The sequence below is a fragment of the Homo sapiens genome, chromosome 1 (assembly GCF_000001405.40).
Source record: "Homo sapiens chromosome 1, GRCh38.p14 Primary Assembly".
NCBI classification, from domain to species: domain Eukaryota; kingdom Metazoa; phylum Chordata; class Mammalia; order Primates; family Hominidae; genus Homo; species Homo sapiens.
Window position 1 is genome coordinate 79,161,688 of NC_000001.11, and position 27,207 is coordinate 79,188,894.

A 27,207-nucleotide genomic window follows, 5' to 3' on the forward strand; every position below is an offset into this window, starting at 1 on the left:
ACTATTCAGGATTTTGAGATATCCAGATACTTTTTGGCAAAGTTTTAGAAATCTAAGAGATGATGTAAATAGACAAGGCAACAATATTACAAATCTTATTTGATGGAAAATGTATCATTACCTGAATCTCCCTTAGCATTGATGCCCTTTTATGTCTGTGCTACAGAGTATCTAAGGAGAAAACAGACAGAGGGAATAGCAGGTAGAAGGGCTCCAGAGTGTGAGTAGGTGAGATTGAGGGAGTAGACACGAAAGCAGTAAAAGTCTCTTGAAGGCTATGTGAGGCAGTGGTGCTTTCTTAGCATGAGGAAGTCACTGGAGGCATTTAAGCAGAGTAGGGATATACTCTGACTTAAGTGTTGAAAGGATTTTAGGGTCCTGAATTAAGACTAGAAGTTAGGAGTCTTCACCCAACTTGGGAGCAGAACACCTGGCAGGTCATTATTATAATAAAGTTGAGCAGCAATGGATGGTGATACAGGATAAGGTGGTAGCAAAAGACATGGCGAGAACCAAAGAGATTCAAGATCTATTCCAGAGCAGAATAAATATAACTTAGTACTAAAGCAGACCACGAAGTAAGTGGCAACTTCTCTTTATCTTTATATAATGAATAATTGATATTGGCATATATTTGCTAAAGTCCCTTTATTGGCTGATTACACTTAGGATAAAATCCAAAATCCTTATCAGAGCTTACCAGGCCTCTGAGCTTGTCACATTCTACCTCTGGCTGTATGTTTTCAATCTTCCTAATCTAGCTGTATTAGCCTTTTCACAATTATCTAAATCTGCCATTCTCTTTATTGCCTCAACACATTTGTACATGATGTACCTCTGCCCAGATCATTTTCCCTTCTCTTCAGCGAAACAACCACATTCTTAACCAATTGGTTAGCTGAAGAGAATGGTTATTAACCATAACACATTCTTCTATTCATCTCTTTCCTATCACCTTAAATGTCACTTGTTCCAAACTTACCCTAAAATTGCCTTTTATATGCTCAAATTGCATGTTTTACTTTTAATGGCCCTTCTTATACATGACTTCTGTAGCAGTCAATACTATGTATGCCTATGTAATTTTTGCATTCTTAATTTCTAGCCCAATACCTAGAATGCAGTAGAAATTCAATAAATATTTTTATTAAATTACTGCCTATATCTTCCTCTTGATGGATTGCAATGCACATTAGCTTATCAAAGTTTTAAAAGTCTTCACACACATGCACATACAGTGTATGGCTATATAAAGGTAGATGTGTATATATGTATAGGCATATGTATATATGTATATACATACATATGTAGGTATAGGCATATTTATATACATATATACAAAATACACACACACACACACACACACACACATCCCTATCTTTGTTTAAACCAACATCTCTGGATGTTCTGTGTTCATGGAATTATTTTTCTTATCTATTATCTTCTAAGGTGAAAGAAGAACATACTTGGAAAAATGCCATGTTAGATTATGACTTCTGTGGGAAATCTTATTTTTTACATAGTTTTAAACAGTTAATATTAAATAACCGCATTTCAATTTCCTATAACCATGTAGAAGTTCTTTTGACCTCCCTATGCCATGGTTTCCTCTGGTAAAAGAGGATAATGTCAGTAATTCTTTCATTCAACTGTGAGCATAAATGAGCTCACACATATATGAATGGGGCTTAGCATGGTGCTCTAAACATAGAAAATACTCATTAGATATGAAATATTTTATAATAAGTAATTTGCTGTAGTATAATTGTATATTTGGAGGCATAAAATCTTGAATTATAAACCTCTAATCTAGTTTTATTTGAGATGTGTTTTCTAAAAAATACAGTTTAATAAAAAAGCAGAAAACCTTAAGCATTGTTTAAATCCTAATCAGTTGTTCTGAAATATTTTAATCAAATCATCTTTGGTCTGCTTTCATTTCTGTATAACTTAGGAAAAATATATGACAATGTGCAAAAATACGTATTTTTTGGTTACCTAGACTATGCTTACATGAATTATGAGACTAATACCATATTTGATATAGAGAAACATCAGAAAATTATCTATTAAAGAAAGAAACTACTACTATGGATTTTAATAACATAAAACTGCTGAGATTTCCATAAAATAAACTCAGAAGTTTTACTTATTCATTTACTCTAATAGCACTTTTCCTAGTTTAATTAAGCATTACAATTACCATTTATTTTCTAAGTTTGCAGTGATTCATAAATTAATAATACTAATGATAGCAAGAAAATAGTAATAACAAAAAAATTCACATTTATTAAATGCCTATATTGTGTTGTGTAAAATACAGCCTCTATTCTGCCTTTGATACTGTTTGTTTCAGCAACTTTCTTGAGGTTGGATTTTATTATTTTAAATCTTATTTTCTTGTAGTTTTATATGTTTGTCATTTCTTTTATCACTTATTCATCCTGCTTAGTCCTCATTCTATATGAAAACTTTGCAGTTCCAGTAGAATACAGTTGAATATTTGCAGATCTAGCTCTTGTCAGAAAGACTATAATTTAAAATCCTGACTCACCAAATCATCTCTGGAAAGCAAATAAACCAGTTCTTGTCTCATTTTATACACAGAATAATATATGTTAAAGACCCTTCATTTTATACTTATTTATGTAAATTTCACCAAAGAGAACATTCTTCAATGTACCCATCTTTAATCTACCACACTAACTCATCAACAACAGAAAATGAATTCAGTTCTTCTCCAATAAGAGATAACCTAGCAACTACAATAAATCCTCCTTGAACCAAACCACTTTTGATCTTCCTTCACTATGAAAGAAATGCTTTGCTAAGAGAAAACGCTGCTATGATTCCGATCCATAAATGGTGATATGGGTAGGCTTTGTGTCCCCACCCAAATCTCATTTTGAACTGTAGTTCTCATAATCTCCACATCTTGTGGGAGGGACCCTGTGAGAGGTAATTGAATCTTGGGAGTGGTTACCTCCATGCTGTTCTTGTGATAGTGAGTTCTCATGATATCTGATGGTTTTACAAGGGGCTTTGCCCCCACTTCCCTCTGCACTTCTCCATCTTTCCGCCCTGTGAAGAAGGACATGTTTGCTTCCCCTCCACCATGATTGTAAGTTTCCCTGAGGCCTCCCCAGACATGCTAAACTGTGAATCAACTAAACTTCTTTCCTTTATAAATTACCCCCAGTCTTGGATATGTCTATATTAGCAGTGTAATAATGAACTAATACCATTGATTGGTACCAGGAGTGAGGTGCTGCTGTAAAGATCCCCAAAAATGTGGAAGTGACTTTGGAACTAGGTAACAGGCAGAGGTTGGCACAATTTGGAGTTCTCAGGAGAAGAGAGGAAAATGTGGGAAAGTTTGGAACTTCCTGGAGACTTAGAGGGCTCAGAAGACCAGAAGAAGTGAGAAAGTCTGGAACTTTCTAGAGACTTGTTGAATGGCTTTGACCAAAATGCTGATGGTGATATGGACAATGAAGTCAAGGCTGAGGTGGTGTCAGATGGAGATGATGAATTTGTTGGGAACTGGAGTAAAGGTCACTCTTGCTATGCAGAGACTGGTGGCATTTTGCCCCTGTCCTAGAGATCTGTGGAACTTTGAACTTAAGAGAGAAGGTTTAGGGTATCTGGTGGAAGAAATTTCTAAGTGGCAAAGCATTAAAGAGGAAGCAGAGCATAAAAGTTTGGAAAATTTGCAGCCTGATGATGTCGTAAAAAAGAAAACCTCATTTTCTGGGGGGAAATTCAAGCTGGCTGCAGAAATTTGCACAAGTAATGAAGAGCCAAATGTTAATCACCAAGACAATGGGGAAAATGTCTCCAGGGCATGTCAGAGACCTTCACTGAAGCCCCTCTCATCACAGGTCTGGAGGCCTAGGAGAAAAAAATGGTTTCCTAAGTAAGGTCCAGTTTCCCCCTGCTGTGCACAGCCTAAGGGCTTGGTGGCCTTGATGTCCAGGCAGAAATTTGCTGCTGGGATGAAGCCATCACGGAGAATGCCAGGGCAGAGAAGGGAATGTGGGGTTAGAGCTCCCACACAGAATTCCCACTAGGGCACTGCCTAGTGAAGCTGTGAGAAGAGGGCCACCATCCACCAAATCCCAGAATGGTACATCCACTGACACCTTGCACTGTGTGCCTGGAAAAGCCGCAGGCACTCAACACCAGTCCCTGAAGGCAGCCAGGAGGGGTGCTGTACCCTGCAAAGCCACAGGGGTGGAGCTGCCCAAGAACATGGGAGCTGACCTCTTGCATCAGTGTGACCTGGATGTTAGACATGGAGTCAAAGGAGATAATTTTGGAACTTTAAGGTTTAATGACTGCCCTATTGAATTTCAGACTTTCATGGGGACTGTGACCCCTTTGCTTTGGCTAATTTCTACCATTTGGAATGAGTTTATTTACACAATAACTGTACCCTAACTGTATCTAGGAAGTAATTAACTTGCTTTTGATTTTATAGGCTCATAAGTGGAAGGTATTTGCCTTGTCTCAGATAAAACTTTGAACTTGGACTTTCGAATTAATGCTGAAATGAGTTGAGACTTTGGGGGCCTTTGGGAAGGCATGATTATGTTTCAAAATGTGAGGACATGAGATTTGGGAGGGCCTAAGGGTGGAATGATATGGTTTGGCTTTGTGTCCCCACCCACATCTTATCTAGAACTATGGTTCCCATATCCCCATGTGTTGTGGGAGGGACCTGGTGGGAGGTAAGTGAGTCACAGAGCAGTTACCTGCATGCTGTTCTAGTGATAGTGAGTATGTTTCAATAAGATCTGATGGTTTTATAAGGGACTATTTTACCTCTTCACTCTGCACTTCTCTGTCCTGTTGCCCTGTGTAGAAGTACGTGTTTGCTTCCCCTTCCACTGTGATTGTAAGTTTCCTGAGGCCTCCCCAGCCATGCTGAACTGAGTTAATTAAACCTCTTTCCTTTATAAATTACCCAGTCTCGAGTATGTCTTTAGTAGCAGCATGAGAATGGACTAATATAGATGGGAATGACAGGGAACTGACATGAAATAAATCTGTATTAATTTCTGTGGGTTTCCACAACAAGTACCATGAAATGGGTAGCTTGAAAGAATGGAAGTTTATTTTTTCACAGTTCTAGTGGGTAGAATCCAAAATTAGGTTATTGACATAGACCATGCTTTTTCTCTGAATAGCTCCAGACTTATTCGGAGAAGTCTGGTTTCTATTTCCCAAATCTCCCTGTCACTAATCTAATCTTGGTCATTCCAAGACTCAACATCTAATTGAGAGTGACCATCTCACCTTTTAGGCAAAGTAGAAACAAATTAACCCACATTTTTCTGCCCACTGGAAGAATATCACTTTCCATAATCCCTAAAGGCCATTCTTGGTAAAGTCGTAATGTCTAAACAGACTACTTCTGATTAGATTTGGTGCCACCTATACAGGCTTCTATAAATAACACTAAAGTTTTTAAATTCTCAATCACACAGTTATAAGAACTTTACCATGAAATTATAGTTGTGGGCTATGCGATCGATGGCACTTTGAAAATGGTAACACATATTTAGAATAGGCAACTTTCTCATTCAAATTATTTCTGCCTTTAGGACAATTTGGATCTAACCCATTTATTATCATACTGTTGAATTCACCTAATGGCACCTAGTTTATGATGAGCATTTTCTGGTGTCCTATTATGAAACATTGAGTTTCCAGATATTCTCAATAATAAATCAAGAAATGATTACTTGCTAGAGACTGCATTCTAGTTCCTGTCCCTTCTCTGCCTATTGATCAACTTTTTCTCCCTTAATTCTATTAACTATACTGTATAATTGATTTCACTTAATTCTAATCTGACATAAGAGAATTTATTTCTCATAACAGCAAATGAAGAATTCTAATACAAAATTGACACTGAGAGCTTAACATTTATTTGGCACATGGCTTCAGGTCAATAAAAGAAGCAATAGGATATGAACCAATATTTCAGTCTTTTGGTTCACCTCAACCCAATAACCAACTTCAAATACTCACATTTCCAAGGTTGTATTGCTTATATAACCTACTGTTGTTACCTATTTAGATATCCATTATGGATATTTGGCAGCAAACAGAAACAGATTCTCATTATCTTAAAATTTAAAATAACTTTACCAAAAGGAAGAACTCATTGGAAAGAAATTGCACAGTTTACAGAATTGAAAGAAGGACTGAAAAGCAGAACAAGTCTTTAAACAAGACATCCAGGAACAGGATGTTTTTAATGTATAGCATACACCTAAAAATACTACTAGGTAAACTTGCAGAGGAGCAGTGCCTTTGGCTATGTCTTTAGATCTGAATCAATGACCTTTTCATACAAGCTTCTCATTATATGTTTTCAAATTCATTCCAAATCTCACATTCTGAGAGCCTTCTGAGTTGTATCATACATGGATAATTTGCATTATGAGTTTTATCCACGTATGATAAAACTCTGAAGGCTTTCAAAATGCACCTAAATAATGTTTTACTCAATGATACTTGTATAATTCGGTGGGTGAATTTATGAACATTTCTACTTCCACTTTTAGGCTTTTGCCTAAAAAACAAAGCTGACATTTAACCACAGCCAATGTCACTTTTCCTGATATGTAGACATCTTACTATATTAGTATTATGGCAGATATCTTCCCAATAGTGATTATAATAGAGATTTGTTGATTCATTAAGTGCTATATTTTTTATTTTACCATTAAAATTAAAACAAAATGGACAGTTATATGAAATTGACATGTTTAAATATACCCAGAGAGAAAAATATTCTCACAGTCATATTAATTCAACAGATTTAAGAAATCTATAAATTTGCATTTATATATAGAAAGCATGAAGTAGGTAAATCTAAGCCCTAATTTAAAATATGATTCATATGGAAAAGCTGATGTTTTTATAGTTTACCAATTCACCTTTCAGAAAGATTTCTTTTAATGTGGTCAAAGTTTCTGCCATAAAATTTATAAATCATTTCTTCTTATCCACCATGATCAAGTGGGCTTCATCCCTGGGATGCAAGGCTGGTTCAACATACGCAAATCAATAAACGTAATCTAGCATATAAACAGAACCAAAGACAAAAACCACATGATTATCTCAATAGATGCAGAAAAAGCCTTTGACAAAATTCAACAACCCTTCATGCTAAAAACTCTCAATAAATTAGGTATTGATGGGAGATATCTCAAAATAATAAGAGCTATCTATGACAAACCCACAGCCAATATCATACTGAATGGGCAAAAACTGGAAGCATTCCCTTTGAAAACTGGCACAAGACAGGGATGCCCTCTCTCACCACTACTATTCCACATAGTGTTGGAAGTTCTGGCCAGGGCAATCAGGCAGGAGAAGGAAATAAAGGGCATTCAATTAGGAAAAGAGAAAGTCAAATTGTCCCTGTTTCCAGATGACATGGTTGTATATCTAGAAAACCCCATCATCTCAGCACAAAATCTCCTTAAGCTGATAAGCAACTTCAGCAAAGTCTCAGGATACAAAATCAATGTGCAAACATCACAAGCATTCTTATACACCAATAACAGACAAACAGAGAGCCAAATCATGAGTGAACTCCCATTCACAACTGCTTCAAAGAGAATAAAATACCTAGGAATTCAACTTACAAGGGATGTGAAGGACCTCTTCAAGGATAACTACAAACCACTGCTCAAGGAAATAAAAGAGGATACAAACAAATGGAAGAACATTCCATGCTTATGGGTAGGAAGAATAAATATTGTGAAAATGGCCATACTACCCAAGGTAATTTATAGATTCAATGCCATCCCCATCAAGCTACCAATGACTTTCTTCACAGAATTGGAAAAAACTACTTTAAAGTTCATATGGAACCAAAAAAGAGCCCGCATCGCCAAGTCAATCCTAAGCCAAAAGAACAAAGCTGGAGGCATCACACTACCTGACTTCAAACTATACTACAAGTCTACAGTAACCAAAACAGCATGGTACTGGTACCAAAACAGAGATATAGATCAATGGAACAGAACAGAGCCCTCAGAAATAATGCTGCATATCTCCAACTATCTGATCTTTGACAAACCTGACAAAAACAATCAATGGGGAAAGGATTCCCTATTTAATAAATGGTGCTGGGAAAACAGGCTAGCCATATGTAGAAAGCTGAAACTGGATCCCTTCCTTACACCTTATACAAAAATCAATTCAAGATGGATTAAAGACTTAAATGTTAGACCTAAAACCATAAACACCCTACAAGAAAACCTAGGCAATACCATTCAGGACATAGGCATGGGCAAGGACTTCATGTCTAAAACACCAAAAGCAATGGCAACAAAAGCCAAAATTGACAAATGGGATCTAATTAAACTAAAGAGCTTCTGCACAGCAAAAGAAACCACCATCAGAGTGAACAGGCAACCTACAGAATGGGAGAAAATTTTTGCAATCTACTCATCTGACAAAGGGCTAATATCCAGAATCTACAATGAACTCAAACAAATTTACAAGAAAAAAACAAACAACCCCATCAAAAAGTGGGTGAAGGATATGAACAGACACTTCTCAAAAGAAGACATTTATGCAGCCAAAAAACACATGAAAAAATGCTCATCATCACTGGCCACCAGAGAAATGCAAATCAAAACTACAATGAGATACCATCTCACACCAGTTAGAATGGCAATCATTAAAAAGTCAGGAAACAACAGGTGCTGGAGAGGATGTGGAGAAATAGGAACACTTTTACACTGTTGGTGGGACTGTAAACTAGTTCAACCATTGTGGAAGTCAGTGTGGCGACTCCTCAGGGATCTAGAACTAGAAATACCATTTGACCCAGCCATCCCATTACTGGGTATATACCTAAAGGATTATAAATCCTGCTGCTATAAAGACACATGCACACACATGTTTATTGCAGCAGTATTCACAATTGCAAAGACTTGGAACCAAGCCAAATGTCCAAAAATGATAGACTGGATTAAGAAAATGTGGCACATATACACCATGGAATACTATGCAACCATAAAAAATGATGAGTTCATATCCTTTGTAGGGACATGCATGAAGCTGGAAACCATCATTCTCAGCAAACTATCGCAAGGACAAAAAACCAAACACCACATGTTCTCACTCATAGGTGGGAATTGAACAATGGGAACACATGGACACAGGAAGGGGAACATCTCACATTGGGGACTGTTATGGGGTGGGGGGAGGGGGGAGGGATAGCATTAGGAGATATACCTAATGGTAAATGACGAGTTAACGGGTGCAGCACACCAGCATGGCACATGTATACATATGTAACAAACCTGTATGTTGTGCACATGTACCCTAGAACTTAAAGTATAATAATAATAAAAAAAAGAAAAGAATGTAATATCAACCTTGCCACTTATGATGCAATTCTTTTAAAACTTCTGCTAAGTATTGGGCTGATTCTTCCATAGAAGAGGTTAACAATTCATAAACTGAAGATTTATTAATTTTTCCTTTTCTAATCCTCTCTACATTAAATCTTTTTCAGTGGCTATTTATTTTTTTAAAAGATCAATGCAGATGCAAAGTAAAATTGTCATCTACTTGCATTCATATTATCTGGATACTTATAAATGCAGAAAATATAGCTATTGAATAGCATTTTTCTTGTGAATATTATGACTGTATTCATTTCACAGGAAGGAATTTGTCTAGATTAATGTGTTGATTCAGCATCCTTGAATTTTGAACTTGGAAACTTTTGCTCCACTGACTTAAAACAGGCAAGAATTTTTTGAAGTTGTTTTTATTTCATGTTGTTCTAAGTTCAATAAAAGCTAGAATGACTGCTGATAGGTGTGTAAATTATCTTAGAGAAAAATTTAGGAATAAAGAATTTCCAATTTAAAAAATTAAAGGTACTTGATTACATTTATTCATTCAGTAATTCATTGGGCATTTATTGTGTCATTAGACCCTTGTGCCAGGCACTTGCCTAGGTCTTAAGGATCCAGGATTTTTTAAAAGACTAATTAAATATAATTTTTAATTAAAGAGATACTGATATCACCAAAACTTTTTATCTTAGTAGTAAATCAAAATATTAGTTGATGAAACTCTTCTCAGGTTCCACCATGGACCCAGAACAAAACCATAGGGATCTTCTTTTCAGTCTTTAATTAAGATCATTTAAAAAAATATCAGTAATCAAGTTTGAAAATTAAATGTGCCTTTATCTTTTCATTCTTACATATACTTGGTCATTCAGTTAGAATTTATGCATATATATTAACACCTACACATAGGAGGTATTCTTTCTAATAGGAATTTACAATCTGATCCATGTATATGCTTTGATTCTATTAAAGGAATAAGCACAGAAATAATTTATTTTCAATGAGTACATTATTTAACATTTTTATATCAAACTCACCGTTTTTTGAGCTTTTAAAAATTCATTATATCTTCACATCTTTAGATTTTTTTCCCCTCTTGTAAATCCAGACAGAATGACTATTAGCATTTTGGCATGCTTGACAATGTTATTAGGGGTTTTGGAAGAATCTCAAGGGTTCTTACATGTCAAAATTGTAAGGAAAAATAATTATTTATGAAACTCAATAAGATAATTAAAGCCATTCCTTTCTGAGTATTTGAAACTTGGGTCTAATTGTGATATTCAGACAAGGATACAAACTGGAGGCTAAAAGAAAATTTCTGATACCTATTGATGTTTTAAAAACTGAAAACAAGCAAATATGCTTAAGACTGTGGAAACCCAGTTTCATGAGATTGGACTCAATAGGTGTCTTTGCTATTTTGACATTCTGTGATAGTAAGACTGGTTAAATCAAATTCCTACACCAACCATAGTCTTTCATGTACAAACTAAACCATCGTTTTTGCCTCAGACTTACAACACCTCCCCTGCTTTTGTTCCTTTGGCACCTGGGAATTTTCATGGTCTGCTATATTGAATAGGGCTCTAATTTTGTAACTTGGGAGAGGAAAGGGATATAACTCTTATTAGCAAACACAAGGTTACAGAGAGAAGGCTACACGGAATCCTATTTACATAAAAACACCCTACAAACCCTCACGGGAAAAATGATGACGGTTATTTGGGGATTTTCAGTTCTTTGCACAGCTAGGATTAACATTTCTTAACAGAAACAAAATGCAAGGGGTGTGGGTGAAAACTTACTTTAAAAAAAAACTTACTTTAAAACTTATTTAAAAAAAAAAATGCATGAAAGCGAATACCCTAGGTCTGGAAGCACTAATCATTAATGGAGAGAAATTCTCATTACAAAATCATATAACAAGTTTGCATGGATTAAAAAAAGTTAAATGGTAATGGAGAGTCTATTGAAAACTAACAAGTAATAATGTATGTTTGATTATTGCTCCATTAAACATTCCAATCTTGATCCTCAGAAACAACGTTTTTGTAACCATTTCTGTCTTTAAATCCTTGGGTAGTGCCATTCATAACTTTAAAATATATACTTTGTGTGTTAACCTGTTAATTTTCCAGTGTGCAATACAAAATAAAGATTTGTTCATTCATGCTACTCCCCACTTCTTTTACTGAATCCAGCTTTGAAAACTTTTTTACTGCTATAAAGTTATTTTGTTGGTTAACTAGGTAAAATAGTACACTTGTACTTCTAGTTCTTTTTCCCTCATTTGTTTGCTAATATTATTTGGGTTAACTTAAAATACACTGAGCCCATTTAAAGTGTAAAATCAAGATACAGATTTTCATTAATCCCAAAAGCTTCTTTGTGCATGTTTGTAAACTATAGTTCCCTCCAATCCCTTCCCCAAACAACCACTAACCTACTTACTATTACTATATATCAGTTTTAATTGTCTTGGGATTTGTATTATTTGAAAGATATAGTATGTATTCTTTTGTTATTTGATTCAGCAAAATAATTTTTAAATTTATGCATACTCAGGTGATTTAGTAGTGCTTTTCTTTTGTTGTCTTCAAATTACTGAATAATAAGTTATTTGGATATTATTTATAAGTTATGTTATTCTATATATTATTCATATATTTATATATTCTCAATATAAGTCCTTTTTAGATATGTGTATGACAAATATTACCCCCAACATATGGCTTGCCTTTTATTTCTTAATAAAATCTTTTAAAGAAAAAAGATTTTAATTTTGATAAACCTCATTTTATCATTTTTCTTTTATTATTTGTGCTTGTGTCTTAAAAAAATTGGTTTATCTTAAGATTGCAGATATTTCTTCTAGAAAATTTACAGTTTTAGTTTTTAATTTTTAGAATTATAACCTATTTTATGTTAAAAATCTATCACACAAGTATGGATTTATTACTGGACTCTTTTCTGTTCAATTAATTCTTTTATCTAACTTGTTTTTAATAATACTAGAGTTTTAGCAATGGATCTAATTGGATAGTAAATATTGAAATGTAACTTTTTATAATGTTTCTGCTTTTTAAAAATTGCTTTGGCTACTTTAGATAATTTGAATTTTGATATACAGTTTAGATTTAGCTTGTCAATTTGTACTAAAACATTATGCTCCAATTTTGAAAGAAATTGTGTTGAATCTATGTCTCAAGTTAGAAAGAATTGACATTTAACAATATTGAGATTTCTAATTCATGAACATGGTATACTCTTCACTCTTTTTCAATGTTTACCTATATTTTAGATATTTCGTTAAATTTATGCCTGAGAAATCAATACGTCTATATTTTATTATAAATTAAATCATATTTTTGATAAAACCTAGGATGACACATGAAGTATGATACCATTTAAATGATTTCAAAATATAAAAAATAGCGTTCATATATTTAATTTCTAATGACTATATAGTAAACTTATTTTTTAAACATTCATGAAAATGATATATAGCAAATTGGAGAGGGTACTCACTTCTTGGAAGGGGAAGGTAGGGATGATATAAAAAAGAAGTAGAAAGATTTTAGCTATATGTTAATCTTATTTTTCTTATAATCTCTGCATATATATGACAAATAAATGTTAACTATTACACTCAATGGTTTTGTGAATGTTAAAATATTTCATAATTAAAGTAAGAGAAAGACAATTGAATATGAAAAGGGTTATTAGGAGACTATCACATTAGACTATAGAAGAGAGATTGGTTCCTAGAACTAGTGGGGCAGCTTTGGAATTGAAAAGGTTTAGGTAAATTCAATCTGTACTATTCCACAACACAGCACAGATTCCATAAAAGAGGTAGTAGACAATTTGATGATGTTTTATTCAGTCATTAAAAATGGAAGCATGTGGACAACAGCAGCTCTGTTAGTGGCAACTTGAATCTTTAAGTGCTAAGGATGAAAAAACGGCAATAAGATAATTGGACACAATTCCCCAGGTGAGTTCCAAATCTCCACGTATTTCACTTCTGCGACAACACAGCTAAATCTAAATTAAGAAAAACACAAACTTATGTTGACAGGAGGAATTTTAAATTCATAACCTCAAGTGGGTCCTTAAAGCTGCTTGATCTATTTTCTTTATCTAATAACTTATCGTGTTTGCTTGTTCAATTCAGAATTACAAAGCTCTAAATGTGGTCTACACCTGAATACTCAAAGCTCTACATTTTTTTCTTTTCTTTTCTTAAAGCCTTCTCTCATTCCTCTCAAAGCGTATCTAAATCAATCTTCTAAACAAACAATTAATTCTGATCTTTTTTTTATTTTAGTGAAACAAACAACAAAGTTGTAGTAATCTGGTCTGGACTCCATCAACCAAATCTTATTCTCCAACACAAGCATATCTGTACCCTCTTTCCTTCCACTCAGTCTCACTGTGACACGTCATTTCTCCTTCTCAAGATCAACCTCCTTTACCAATGTTTTTGATTCCCATTCTCTTTCATGATTTTTTCATGAATTATTTTTTCTGCCTACTTTGATGTCTATTTCTGTTCATTAATGACATATAACCTAAAAGTATTCTTTACATTTACATTACAAGCTTCACATTAATTAAAATTTGTGCCTCATGTAGATTTTCCCCTAAATTCCTTTCCTTCTTAGGTGAAATTTTGAAGAATGGTCTCTATTTGTGTTTCCACTTTATCACATCCTATTATACCGCAGACAATTTCAAGTGGTTTTCTCTCTCCATTACTCTAATAAATTTTTTTAATGAAATTACTCAATGACCTTCTAATTGTCATATCTAATCACAAGGAGCTTCTGGCATGATCTTATTATATACCAGTCTTCTATGGTGCTATCTATGTTTCTTCTTAAACTATTAGGACCCTACTCTGTCTTACTTCCTGTAGTTATGGGACTATTGTTTTTCTAACAGCTTTGAAGATTCTTCTTTCTTCTTCCTCTGTTTGACCATGATTTAATTATCTCCTCATCATTTGTTTTTATTTTTATTTTTACTTTTTGTAGAGCCATGGTCTTACTTCTTGGCCAGGCTGGTCTTGAACTTCTCTGACCTCAAGTGATCCTCTCACCTCAGCCTCCCAAAGTGCTAGGATTACAGGTGTGAGCCACTGCCACCAGCCTCATGTTATCATTTTTATTAATTTTTATATTGTTCCTGGGCATTTTATTGTGGGTTACCTGATATTTATGTGGCTGAGTCTAAAATCTAAATCTTTAAATTCACCCCTATCTTCAGACTTATTTATAGGCTGTAGTTTGTAGATACAACTGCCTGTTGGAATCTGCACCTTGTATCTCACAAGAACCTCAAAATCAACTTTGCCAAATTGCACCAATCATTTATTCCCCAATTCTAAGACTATAAATCTTCTCCTATGCTTTCTACTAATTTTAGTACACCACTAAGAACTCAGTTGCTAAGATGAGAAATTAATTTGTCTGGACTCTTTCTTCAGTGTTAACACTAATCATCTGCAAGTACTGCCCAACTTTGCCCTCTCAACCTGTCACAATTTTTCCTCCCTTTGTCATCCCTAATACTATTGTACTGCCTAATTTTTCTATCACCTCTAAGCTGAAAAACTACCATAACCTATTAAAATGTTTTCCTTTTTTCTTTCTTCAAGCAGTCTTTTATCATGGCCACCAAGATAGTACGATATACCAATATAATAAAAATTTCCTTCAAATCTCTTAAATAGCTTCCCATTCCCAGTAGAATAATTTATCATAATTATACAATGGCATTCAATATTCCCAATATAATGAATACTTCTGTATATTTTAACTGTTTCAATTCCCTACCTCCAACCTTGAACTCTAGCAAAATGATAAATTGCCAGTATTTCATGAAATACTACATGTTGATATATGCTTCTAGGCCTTTGACCATTCTTTTTTCCTTCTTCTTATTTTTATATGTATTATCATTTCCCTATATTTTAAATTGTCTAAATTTTACTCATCTTAGAAAGCTTCAACTTTTAAGGACATTGCCACCTATTTAAGTATTACCTTTATTTCTTTATGTTTCCCAAAACCAGATTAGCATATCTCCTCTGTTGACCTATTAGATTACATGATTGTTTTTAATTGTATGTTTATCTTGTTTCCTTTATTTAATCTCTGCAAATACATCTTCCAAAGTAGAGTAAACTCTCTAAGGCTAGAGATCAAATCTTATCATCTTTTCATCCGAGCTGCCTAACATAACGACTATAAAAATGAAGTGAAAATGAAAGCTAGCTTTTGTGGTAGGCAGAATCTTAATATGACTCCCAAGACCCCTAGCCCCTTGACGTTCATACCTTTTATAATCCTGTCCTGTTGCATGTGGGCAAAACCATGAATATGATGGATTGTCACTCTCATGACTGGGTCCCAAATCAGTTGTCTTTGAATTAATCAAAAGAGAGATTTTCCTGAATGGGGCTAACCTAATCATGTAAACCCTTAAAGAGAACTGGGCCTTCTGGAAATCAGAAAAACTTTCCTGCTGTCATTGAAGAAGGAGCTTCCATGAGTTCAACAGCTGCAAGAAAATTAATTCTACTAACAATCATATGAGTTTGGAAAAGTTCACCGAGCTTGAGGTGAAAACTCAGGTCTAAACAACACCTTAGTTACAGCTTTGTGAGATCCTGATCAGAAGTCCTAGTTAACTGTGGCTGTACTCCTGATCCACAGGAACTCTGAGGTAATAAATTTGGTTTTTTAAATTATTAAGTTTGTGATAATTTGTTACATAACAACAGAAAACTAGCATACTTTAAAAAATGCTAAACTACAAAAAGAGCTATGTTTACCTAATTAGCCAAAAGAATTCTAGTCACGGGAGAAGGTTTTCAATAGATCTCTGGTGGTGGTCATGGAAATAGTGGCAATTGCAGGAACACCTCTGGTGTGTGACCAACAACAATAGCAACATAAGTGGAACAGTGATTGATTTCCACTTGCAGCAATGACTGAATTAAAGAAAGCAATAGCAAACTAGGACAGTAACTAAGGAGTAAGAAAATAGGAAAGAGAAGAGTTTGAAAACATGGAGTCTTTGTAACAATACAGTAGGGAGACCTAAAGCAAATATATTTGCTACTTTTATTTAAGGTATGATTAAATCAAAGATGGTATAAACCTGCAAAGGGGCTATATTAATTAATGATATTTTACTCTACATATTAAAGAGTAAGGAATCAAGGGAATAAGATGTGGAAAAGTAGTTTATGACATAGAGTAAGAAGTCAAAAAAGTTCTGGAGTTTGGGATGTTGCCTAGCAACTAGGATGTTGTTCCACAGTCTTTGGATTTAATTGAACTTATGAAGTTTTGTTGCAAACAGACACAGGGAGGTAAGCTCAGAAAATATAAAAATTAATGTACCTTTAGCAAGGCTTTAGGCAGACCTGATAGATTTTCAAGATAAAACAACTCTGTTTGCTATTATTCTGACATAGCTTAGTTCCTTTGCTCTATTTCTATTACCTTTCTATCTCCTCTTTTAGTGTTTACTTGTTTGTCAGATAATTTCCTCACTTATATCTTCCTCAAATGACTTTTCTAACCTGGATAAAACATAATAATAATTTCATTCCCTTTGTTGTTGATTGAGTTACCAAACACTGACCCATAAGGCAGGAAGTCAAGTTTTCTGGAGAATTCTGGAAGGATTCTTGAGGGATTCCGGAGTTGTCTAGAAGGATTCTTTCTCATACAAAAAATTGAATAGCCAGAGAAGAAATGGCTAATTTTCTTGTTACAGGTGCTGTTGGTAGTGGGTTGTAGTTGTTAAATTGTTGTAGCCATTTTGCTTCTGGCTTGAGAATAATGCCATGCATAGTTCATTATTCACTGGGAAGTGGAGCTGGAGCTTTAACATGTAGCCCCTGACTATACCTGCTTCTGAATTTTTTATGTAAGGAAATATAATTTTCTAGTTATTCAATCCAGTTTAGGACAGGGTCGTTGTATTAGTCTGTTTTCATACTGCTCATAAAGACATACCTGAGACTAGGCAACTTACAAAAGAAAGAGGTTTAATTAGACTTACAGTTCCTCATGGCTGGGGAGGCCTAACAATCATGGAAGAAGGCAAGGAGGAGCAAGTTACATTTTACATGGATGGCAGCAGGCAAAAAGAGAGATGACTTGTGCAGGGGAACTCTTCTTTTAAAACCATCACATTTAGTGAGACTTATTCACTATCACGAGGAAAGCATGGGAAAGGCATGATTCAATTACCTCCCAGAGGGTCCTTCCCACCACATGTGGGAATTCAACCGGAGATTTGCCTGGGGACACAGCCAAACCATATCTTTCTGCCCCTGGCCCCTCCCAAATCTCATGTCCTCACATTTCAAAACCAATTATGCCTTCCCAACAGTCCTCCAAAGTCTTAACTCATTTCAGCATTAACTCAAAAGTCTGCAGTCCAAAGTCTCATCTGAGACTTTCTCAGCCTGAACTTTATTGCCCATATCACTATCAGGCTTTTGGTCAAAACCATTCAACAAGTCTCTAGAAAGTTTCAAACTTTCCCACATTTTCTTCTCTTCTTCTGAGTCCCCCAGACTATACCAACCTCTGCCTGTTACCCAGTTCCAAAGTTGCTTCCATAGTTTTGGGTATCTTTTCAGGAGAACCCTACTCCTGGTACCAATTTACTGTATTAGTCTGTTTTCATGCTGCTGATAGAGACATACCCAGGAGTGGGTAATTTACAAAAGAAAGAGGTTTAATTGGACTTACAGTTCCACATGGCTGGAGAGGCCTAACAATCATGGCAGAAGGCAAGGAGGAGGAAGTCACATCTTACATGGATGGCAGCAGGCAAAAAGAGAGATGACTTGTGCAGGGGATCTCCTGTTTTTGAAACTACCAGATCTCATGAGACTTATTCACTATCATAAGAAAAGCACGGGAAAGACTTTCACTCATGATTCAATTACCTCCAACTGGGTCCCTCCCACAACACGTGGGAATTCAAGATGAGATTTGCATGGGGACACAGTCAAACCATATCAGTAGTCTATTAGCTTCAGTTAGAAAGCATTGAAACATGTAATACTCCAAATATCTTTTGGCCTTTAAACTATTTTTGTAATAGGTAGGATTCATCATAGGTGACTGCCTCCTTCTTATCAACTTTGACATCAGAATTTGATTCCTGGGATATTCAGATGTAGCCAGAGATACAGATTCTCATTACAAAATCATGGTAACTTACATAAAGGACAAGCATACAGCTGTATTGCACAGAAGTGAGCACTGAGTTTTGCAGAATGTTTGAGATATCATGACCTGTTCAGGAAAAATACTTCATTGGAGAACCCCAAAAATTGAAAGATGAACTTGTCTCATTTAGTTAGTTTGCTCTACGTTGGTCCCTAATAGGAAACCTCAAAGTAAGACAACGAGAATATGGTCTTACCCCATTGAGGCTATTACAGTGGTCTCTAATGAAAAATAAACATTTCTCTAGTTAAGTTTTGTTTTGCCTTTGATGATGGAAATGCACTTTCAGATCAGCTAATATGTTAAAATCTATAATAGGAAAGTAGAAATACAAAGATAGATTACCCACAATATTTGCATGTTTATTTAAATTAAAAGGAAAAACACTATAAACCAATATAAACCAAATATCAAGACTATATTTTTTAATATTCTGAATTACTGAGCAATTTTTATCAGTTCTACAAAGAACTATACAAACTTTATATATTGTCTTCAAAATAAAAGCTACTCAAGTTTTTTTTCTAGAAGTTTTAGGTCATCAATTCCAACTGAAGCCAGCACTTCTTAAATTATAAGAATGAAATAAAATAAGGAGCTCATTTTCTGCTTTACACAACAGAAAATGAGACCTAAGAATAAACTGGTCATCTAGGTATCAGCATGAAATGTTTCAGAAAGGGACATGTCTCTCTTTCTTCTCCTCCTGTTTTTTTAAATGAATATACATGATAGAACAATGAATTTGTGAATGTGAAATAAGTTTCAGTTTGTTGAAAGAATCACTACAAATTTTACCTGATAAAATGATTATTCAAAACCCAAGAGACATTTCAAATAATAAGACGGCTTTGATAAATAAGTGTATATTAAAAAAACAGGTACTTTCTACAAGACAGCTATTCTTTTAATATGTTGTTTTCATTATTTTCCAGCAGAAAAAGAGACTGCCTGAATGCTAACAAATATCAGTTTGGTCTGGTATTTTCCAACAGATGTATCTGAAAGACAAACATTACATAAACCCATACATATCAGTGGAAGATGAGAAAAATGATGCTTAGGGCAATCTGATGGTATCCTCTAGTATACAAAGCTGTTTGTATCTCTTTTTTGATTATTTTTGTGTCCCAATTATTACACCCATTAGTGCCCTTAGGATAAAGCAACACAAAACAAAACACAACAAAGACCTGTCTGTCTGAAAATGGCAGACAGGTCTTTGAGGTTATAGATGGATTTATTGGTTCTCTGTTTCTAAATTCCTCAAAAGGACCTGAGCAATTTACTGCCTGAAAAATGTTGAGGACTGAGCACCTGGAGGCCTTTAATAATGATGATGGTAGGAAAGCTATGGAGTTAATTTTCAATGTGAATTATATTGAGTACTCAGGCTCAGAATGAAACTCCTCTGGTGAAAGAAAGGGAAATACAACATTTCGTAAAGAGGTTATAAAATGTTTGTTAGATTCTATGTGTAAGAGGTATCAACAACTATAAGAAATAATGCCTCATTCAGGCTCCAGTGAACAATATGAAATATGTCTCAATACCTATTTTTTGTTTTCGTTTTTATACTTGATATGATAATTTAAAGAACTAGCATAACAAGGATAGGTTTTTTCTTCTTTTTGAATAAACAGTATGGTCCTCTCTTGCACTAAAAATAATCTGATTTTGTGACTCTCCTAAATAAAAATAGGATGCATCATTCAAAATTTCTAACTTAAATAAATGGCTTTTCATGTCCACAGATGAATATTTAACAGTAAATTCTTGAATGATCATTCTACCATTTATTACTTTTTATTCAATAATATTAATTGAACTTCTATGTGCTAAGCAGAGTACTAGGAGCCAATGACTAAAAAGTGATAAACATACATGTGGCTTATTCATGTGCACTTTTTTGGTGCTTAGGATGTTTTAAGAGAAACCAATGAATAAATAAGAACTAAACAGGCAGTCAAGACAGTGTGTTAAATGCTCTAACAGGAGAAGCACCTATTTCTAGTTGAATTAAACCACATGATTTTTTTTTCAAAGCACTCAGCTCTCAAAGGCTCAACTACTTTATCCATAAAATAGGGATTATAATTTATTACCTGGGTGAAAAAAAATAAGTGAAGCAGATGCTTTCCTGGGACCTCTTGCCATCCTAACATTTATGATTCAATGAAATAATAATTTCCTGGAAATTGTTTAAAATATAAAATATACGCCAACCACCCATCTCCCCACAAATCACAGAAAAAAATAATCAAGGACACGGAGTCTGACACTATGACCTTGTTTTTCCTTTATGATCTTCCTGGGAGAGGTCTGTTTGGCATATAGAGATTCACAGTAAGAATGTAGCGGTGATTGGTAATGCTAATTTGCCATAGCGTTTTAGTTTTACCAGATGGCTCCATGGTTATCCTGGTTCTGGTTACCAGATGAAGCTAAAGTTTCCCCTTTTATGGATAAGCAGTAGGTATTTTTTAATATGACAACATTTCTTATTAGTATCTAATATTAGTATTCCTCTGAACAAATTCCATAAAGCAGTAAAAGAAATTACTGGGAAAAATTATTAGATTTCTCTAGGTTATGAATATCTTATGAAGCTTTCAAAACAGTATCAGGAAAGAAAGCTGATATAAAAAAGGAACTGGATACACTTCCAAAGAAGGTACTAATAACTGACATTGGTAGATTTGACATTTTAGCACATATCAAATTTTGTATCAGAGTTTGCAGAATATGGTACTAGCTCTGTGCATTTGCCATGTCTTCAAATAAAAGATAATACATGAATGACAACTGCCAATATGTTACTGCATTTTTGTATTTTAAATTTTCTCATTTACATTTTTCTTCCCATATTTAATTTAAACAATATTTGAGAATATAATTTTAACATCCACCCCCAAGTAGGCTAGAATGTCATGTATCTAGAATGATTGACATGGATTGCAATATTACTGAGACAGAAGAACACTGGCTAGTCAGTCAATTTTAAAGTTAATTTTAAAAATATATTAATTTTCCTACAAAGGGATGAGATAATTCAAGTTAGTAATGTGGTATCATTATCACCGTCATTATTATAGGAATAAAGAAATTGGAGTAGATGACAACTTAGGTCATTTCAAGTGATAATTGCTTTTGGTAGTTCTAACTTTATCATAATGCTATAAATTAAATGAAACACTGTATGTAAAGATGATTTGAAAATTATAGCATTCTGTATAAAAGTACATTTCAGGCCATCTGATGGCTAGCTGCTAGTTGATCAGTTAATTCAAACAAATGATCAATTCAGTCTCTTAAATAGCTTTACTTCTTTTTATAAAAATGGTTAGCTATGTTACTGTAATGACTGATTTTTAAGATACTGTTAGGGTACTGTTATCACGTTATTTTTGAGGTCAGAGCTGAAGTCTTATAGGTCAGAGTGTGAAGACGCTAAGCAGCATCACCCCTAAGCGTTCTCTAGTTAGACAAATCTAACTGCAGATGCTCCTCGCCTTACCATGGGGTTATGTCCCTATAAGTCCATTGTTAACTTGAAAAGATCCTAAGTCAAACTCTCATAACGTGAGGACCACCCGTACTACAGAATGGTTGGAAATGGATGTGAAAGAACTAGTGACCCAAACAGGATGGCATTTTCCTTCTGACTGAGGGAAAAAGAGAACCCATGAAAGAATGGCAGTTCAGGGTAGAAAGACTGTTGGTCCATGGTTATGTTGGGAGTATATTTGGGAATCTACTGTACCACTCAGGGAATCATTTAACTAAACAAATGATTGCTACCTTGCCTTCAGATTGCTAGAAGGATAAAAGCTATCATTTATTAAGCACCTACTTGGTATGAGACACCTGTTTATATGTGTGTTATATTATTTATCAATTTATTTAACAATATGGGCCTATGATATGAAAGACACTGTTCGTGGCATTGAAAATACAGCAATGACTGATATAAACAAGATTTTATTTTCATAGGGCTTACAATCAAGTGGAACTGAATTTTTTAAAAAAAGGAAAATTAAGGTAATTTCTGATGTCATCAGTGGTAAGGAGAAATAATATTGTAATTTTGTGGAATGACCAGGGCAACTTGGATCAGTGGAGTCAGAAGGTTACATTTGTTACAGAGCTGAGGAATGAAAAAAGAGTAGAGTAATACTGTCAAAACAAAACAAAACAAAAAGAAGAATTAAACTGCATCTACTTTTGCTGCAGAATTCCATGATAAGGGCAGAAAAAGTGTCATGAGATTTAATAAAACAGAGATCCTGGCAAACTTTGAGAAGATATGAATACAATTGAAATGGCTGAGAATGAAGAGATGGAAGTAGAGACAGTATACAGAAAACTCTCAATTAGTTTGGCTATGAAATAAAACTGGTAGTAGAAGGAGAGAAATTGGTGCCCAAGAAGTAGCATTTTAGTGTTGTGAGATTAGAGTATAATGATAGGCATAATCTTGAAGTATTAATAATACAGATAATGACAATAATGCAAAAATAACAATGATGGCTTATAATATGCAAGATATTTTTCTAAATGCTTTACCTGAATTATTTAAATTTATCACCACAACATACTTTCAAAAAAGGTATACTATATTGCATCTTGTTTTACAGAAATCTGAAAGAGTGAGATGAACTACTTTCCAAGGTTTTACACACAGTAAATGGCAAAGTAGTAATTCAAACCCACAAAATTTGAATATTGACACTCAAAGCACCTTAAATATAAAAACCTCCTCTCATAGACCACTGCAAAATCAACAAATTCCAATCTCTCTAAAGTTATCCAACACTGCATTTGTTTTGGGGTGAAGAAAAGGGGAAGTGAGTAAGGGAAATCATTACATAAAAATTACCAGCCCTAATATACATACCTGGTTATATATTTCAGGAAGCCTGTGTGGTCTTTTGAATTGAAATCTCCCTATTTTTTAGTTACGTGGCTGTGGCTAAATTCCAAATTTCTGAGCGTTAGTTTTCATTTTATAAAATTGAGACCTTAATGATTCTTTCAGTGGATTTTTGAGAAGTAAACTACGTTATATATGTACAGGTGTTTTCTCAGCTATAATGTGTTATACCTCAGTAACATAGCATGACGGTTTTTACTATGATTACTATTGTTATGGTTGAGTGCTGGACTATGGCAGCCATTTCTGAATTTTACCTCCTTTGCTGGATACTCCTCCATTCCCTTATTGGAGAAAAAGAAAACAGGGTCTGACATCTATGTAATAAGTCACCTGGATTATCTTTCCTTCTGTAGGTTGGGTTCCACTAACAGGAGGCATAAGTAGGTGAGTACAAGTTAGAGAGAAAGGATATTCTCTCCTGCCTGGAAGTTTTGAAATAGCTCTTGAGTTTTTTACAAAACCCATAAGTCCTGCATGTATCTTTGGTTCAGTTAATCATTCCCTCCTCTTTCCCCTTTAAGACTAGGGGTGGGGACATCTTTCTACTTATTGGTTCCCTATGCCTGTTTTTACCTTGGTCTCTTCATTAAACACTCTTCAATTACCCTTTCTGGCTACAACAAGGTTTTGTTTGTTTGTTTGTTTGTTTTGCCTAGATCCTGTCTGATAATCTTGTCCCTGAACAACTCTCATGGTGATATTCTCAAGGTCTTCTTGTTTTTTGTTTTGTTTTGTTTTTGTTTTTCCTGAAGTGGATTTTAATCTTTTTCCCGTGGCTCCTTTTAATAACCATCCTGTCCAGAGCATCTTGGTATTTTAAGTGTTGATTCCATTTAAAAACAAAAAGCAAAGTCACACAAAACTGTCAACCATAACTTGTGATAAGCATGAAAAAGCCAACATTAAAATCTAAGTTAAGTATAGACAAAAGTTATCAACAGTATTAATTACACATGTTGTAAAGACCTTCTAGATTTTGTATCCTGTTTCATTATATCCTCAGATAAGCAGAAGGTGTAAATGCTAACATGGTTAAAACTATCAGCTTTTCCTTAGTGAATTGCTTTTTAAAAGATATTTAATAAACCCTGATGTAAATTATTATTCTATTTTATCTACTAAAATATAATCTTTTATATTTAATTATATTAATATACATTAAATATGTTTAATTAATTATTAGTTAATATTTCTATTGAATATATACTGTTATTTATTATATTCTTTTTTATATTTAATTATTTAATCAAAGTAAAATGAATATTGTATTATGTGAAGTAGGACTCAAGTGTCATTTTTTTCAGCAGTAATTACCTATTGTCTTACTACAATTTATTTAATAGTTTATGTTTTCTCCACTTTGTATACAATATCAGCTCTATCATAAACTAAATTTCCATATGCCTATTCTTTCCGTTGGTTAATTTTTCTGTCCTTACTCACACCACCATTTTAATATAGACCTATAATAAGTCCTGATAGCTGTTTGGACACATCTACTAAACCTTGTTTGTTTTCCTTAAGAATGCCTCGCTATTCATGATGCTTTGTGTTCCCAGCCAAATTTTAAAGTTAGACTGTCAGCTACTATATAAACATGTAGGCATTTTAATTTGAATTGCTTTAAATCTATTAATTATTTTGGGACGATTGACATCATTGTGATACTGAAACTTTTAATATCTCCTATTTATGTAAATGTTCTTTGCTGGCTTTAAATAATGTCTCATAATTTTCTGAGTCATATAAATATTTACACATCTAGGTATCTCATTTTGTTTTGCTACTGCAATCTGTAGGTTTAGAAAAATTATATACTCTATTAATACACTTGGGTATTAATTTTAATCCAGTTGCTAAATCTTCTCATTAAATATAATAATTCATTTGCAGCTTTTCTTATGTTTTCTATGAAATCTATTTGTATATTTTTCTATGTAGATAATGATACCATCACAAATAAAGCATATGTTTTCTAGCATCCTGGCAGTTTTCATATGAATAATTATAATGTCATTTAGTTCTATTTTTAAAACTTCCATTTTGATTTCTTCTCAGACAAGTAACTTATTTTGAACTTTTAAAAACAGCCATTGTTATTTTTGCACCTTATTCCTAATTTTATATCGTTTCTTTATTAATATTTTCAAGAATTATGTATTTAAAAATATAATATCAGTAAAGGTACAATCACGAGGCTGTAACCATCTGTTATTTGACAGGGAAACTTCAAAATAAAGAATTACTTAGTACAATACACAATGATTAACTACCAAAGAATTGAAACAAAGCTTTAAGGGGCCCCTTTACTAACCAAATAATGGTGCGTCTCCTGAATGCTACTTTCTTAATAAACGGAAGCATCATTTATCCTGAGGACCAATTTAGAAACCTCTATTATTTTTATAAACCATTTATTCTCGTCTTATCAAGTCATCAAATAGTGAAGATTCTAGGCCCATCCAATCAAGTTTTCACATTGCCACCTAAGTAATATTTTAGAAATGCAAGTTTGATCATTTCTCTCTATTGTTTACAATAGTTCAATGGATCCTTCTTCCCTTGAAGACAGAGATCTTTAATCTGCCATAAAAGAATCTCCAATGTCTGGCTGAACCTGGTTTATTACCCACTTTCTGCCTTTTCTGCACTGAATTACTTGCCATGTACTAATGCACAACGGGCTTAGGTATGTGTATGTCCTACAATCTATCTTTCACAAAATTTTTACATGTATTGGTTCTTTGTATACTCAACATGGAGAAGTTTCACTCTTTTCCCCAAGTCTCTTTTCTGATAAATTTATACTTGACTTGTTCTGTTACTATCTTCAATTTAAGTTAAGCTGTTTGCTCAAGGTTATATATAGAAAGTTATAGATTCAATTGTACTGCTTAGTTTTCTGGTCTTTTAACTATGCTATTATCTGAAGGACAGAGAGACTCCACATCATAGCATGCATAATGGAGAAATAATTCTAAAGGACACTGTTAAGAATTTCACGTGTTTTTTAAAAAAGCACAGCTTCTTAAAAAAATAAAATTGTACTCACTCAGAAACTCAATATGTAATATCTACTCTTCTTCCAGCTTCCTGGGTGTAGCAGTTTGAAAAAAAAGAGCTGTATTTGTTGTCCTTATAGTATCAGAAACAATACAAACCTGCATGCCTAACAAATCATTTGTGGGATAATGGCAACTGGGTGGAAAGCTTAAGAAAAACAGGAAACAATCCTCATCATACTTTAAATACTAATCAAAACAATTTTTCTGTAGGAAGACTTATGGTGAAGCTAAGATCAACAAAATGAGTCATATCCGGTCCAGAACGAGCCAGGCATACAGGAGAAGAAAGTGTCAATTTAGGACTCATTTTACTACAGGGAGGAAGGTTCTGTAATTATGACAAAAATAAATTATATAAAGCATAACAGAATCATATGATATATCCTTATAAAAGACCTAACTATTCCAAAATTTCATGACTTTATCATTTCATCATATTTATCACATCCTTGCAGGATTATTTGTCCATGCAAAGCCAGTAAAAACAGGTGATCATTTAGCTGTATAATCTGATTTTGAAACCAGATTATTTTCCCCTC

At 34.0% G+C, this 27,207-nt stretch overlaps 1 long non-coding RNA gene across 1 annotated transcript in view; it reads right to left on the reverse strand.

Moving 5' to 3' along the window:
- The window catches only part of LOC107984998 (uncharacterized), a 67,115-nt gene extending 40,322 nt beyond the window's left edge, over positions 1 to 26,793 (reverse strand). The window contains exon 1 of the long non-coding RNA XR_001738111.2: positions 26,656 to 26,793. This is a non-coding gene — a long non-coding RNA (uncharacterized LOC107984998). The remainder of the gene's footprint in view (positions 1 to 26,655) is intronic.
- Positions 26,794 to 27,207: the final 414 nt, after the last annotated feature.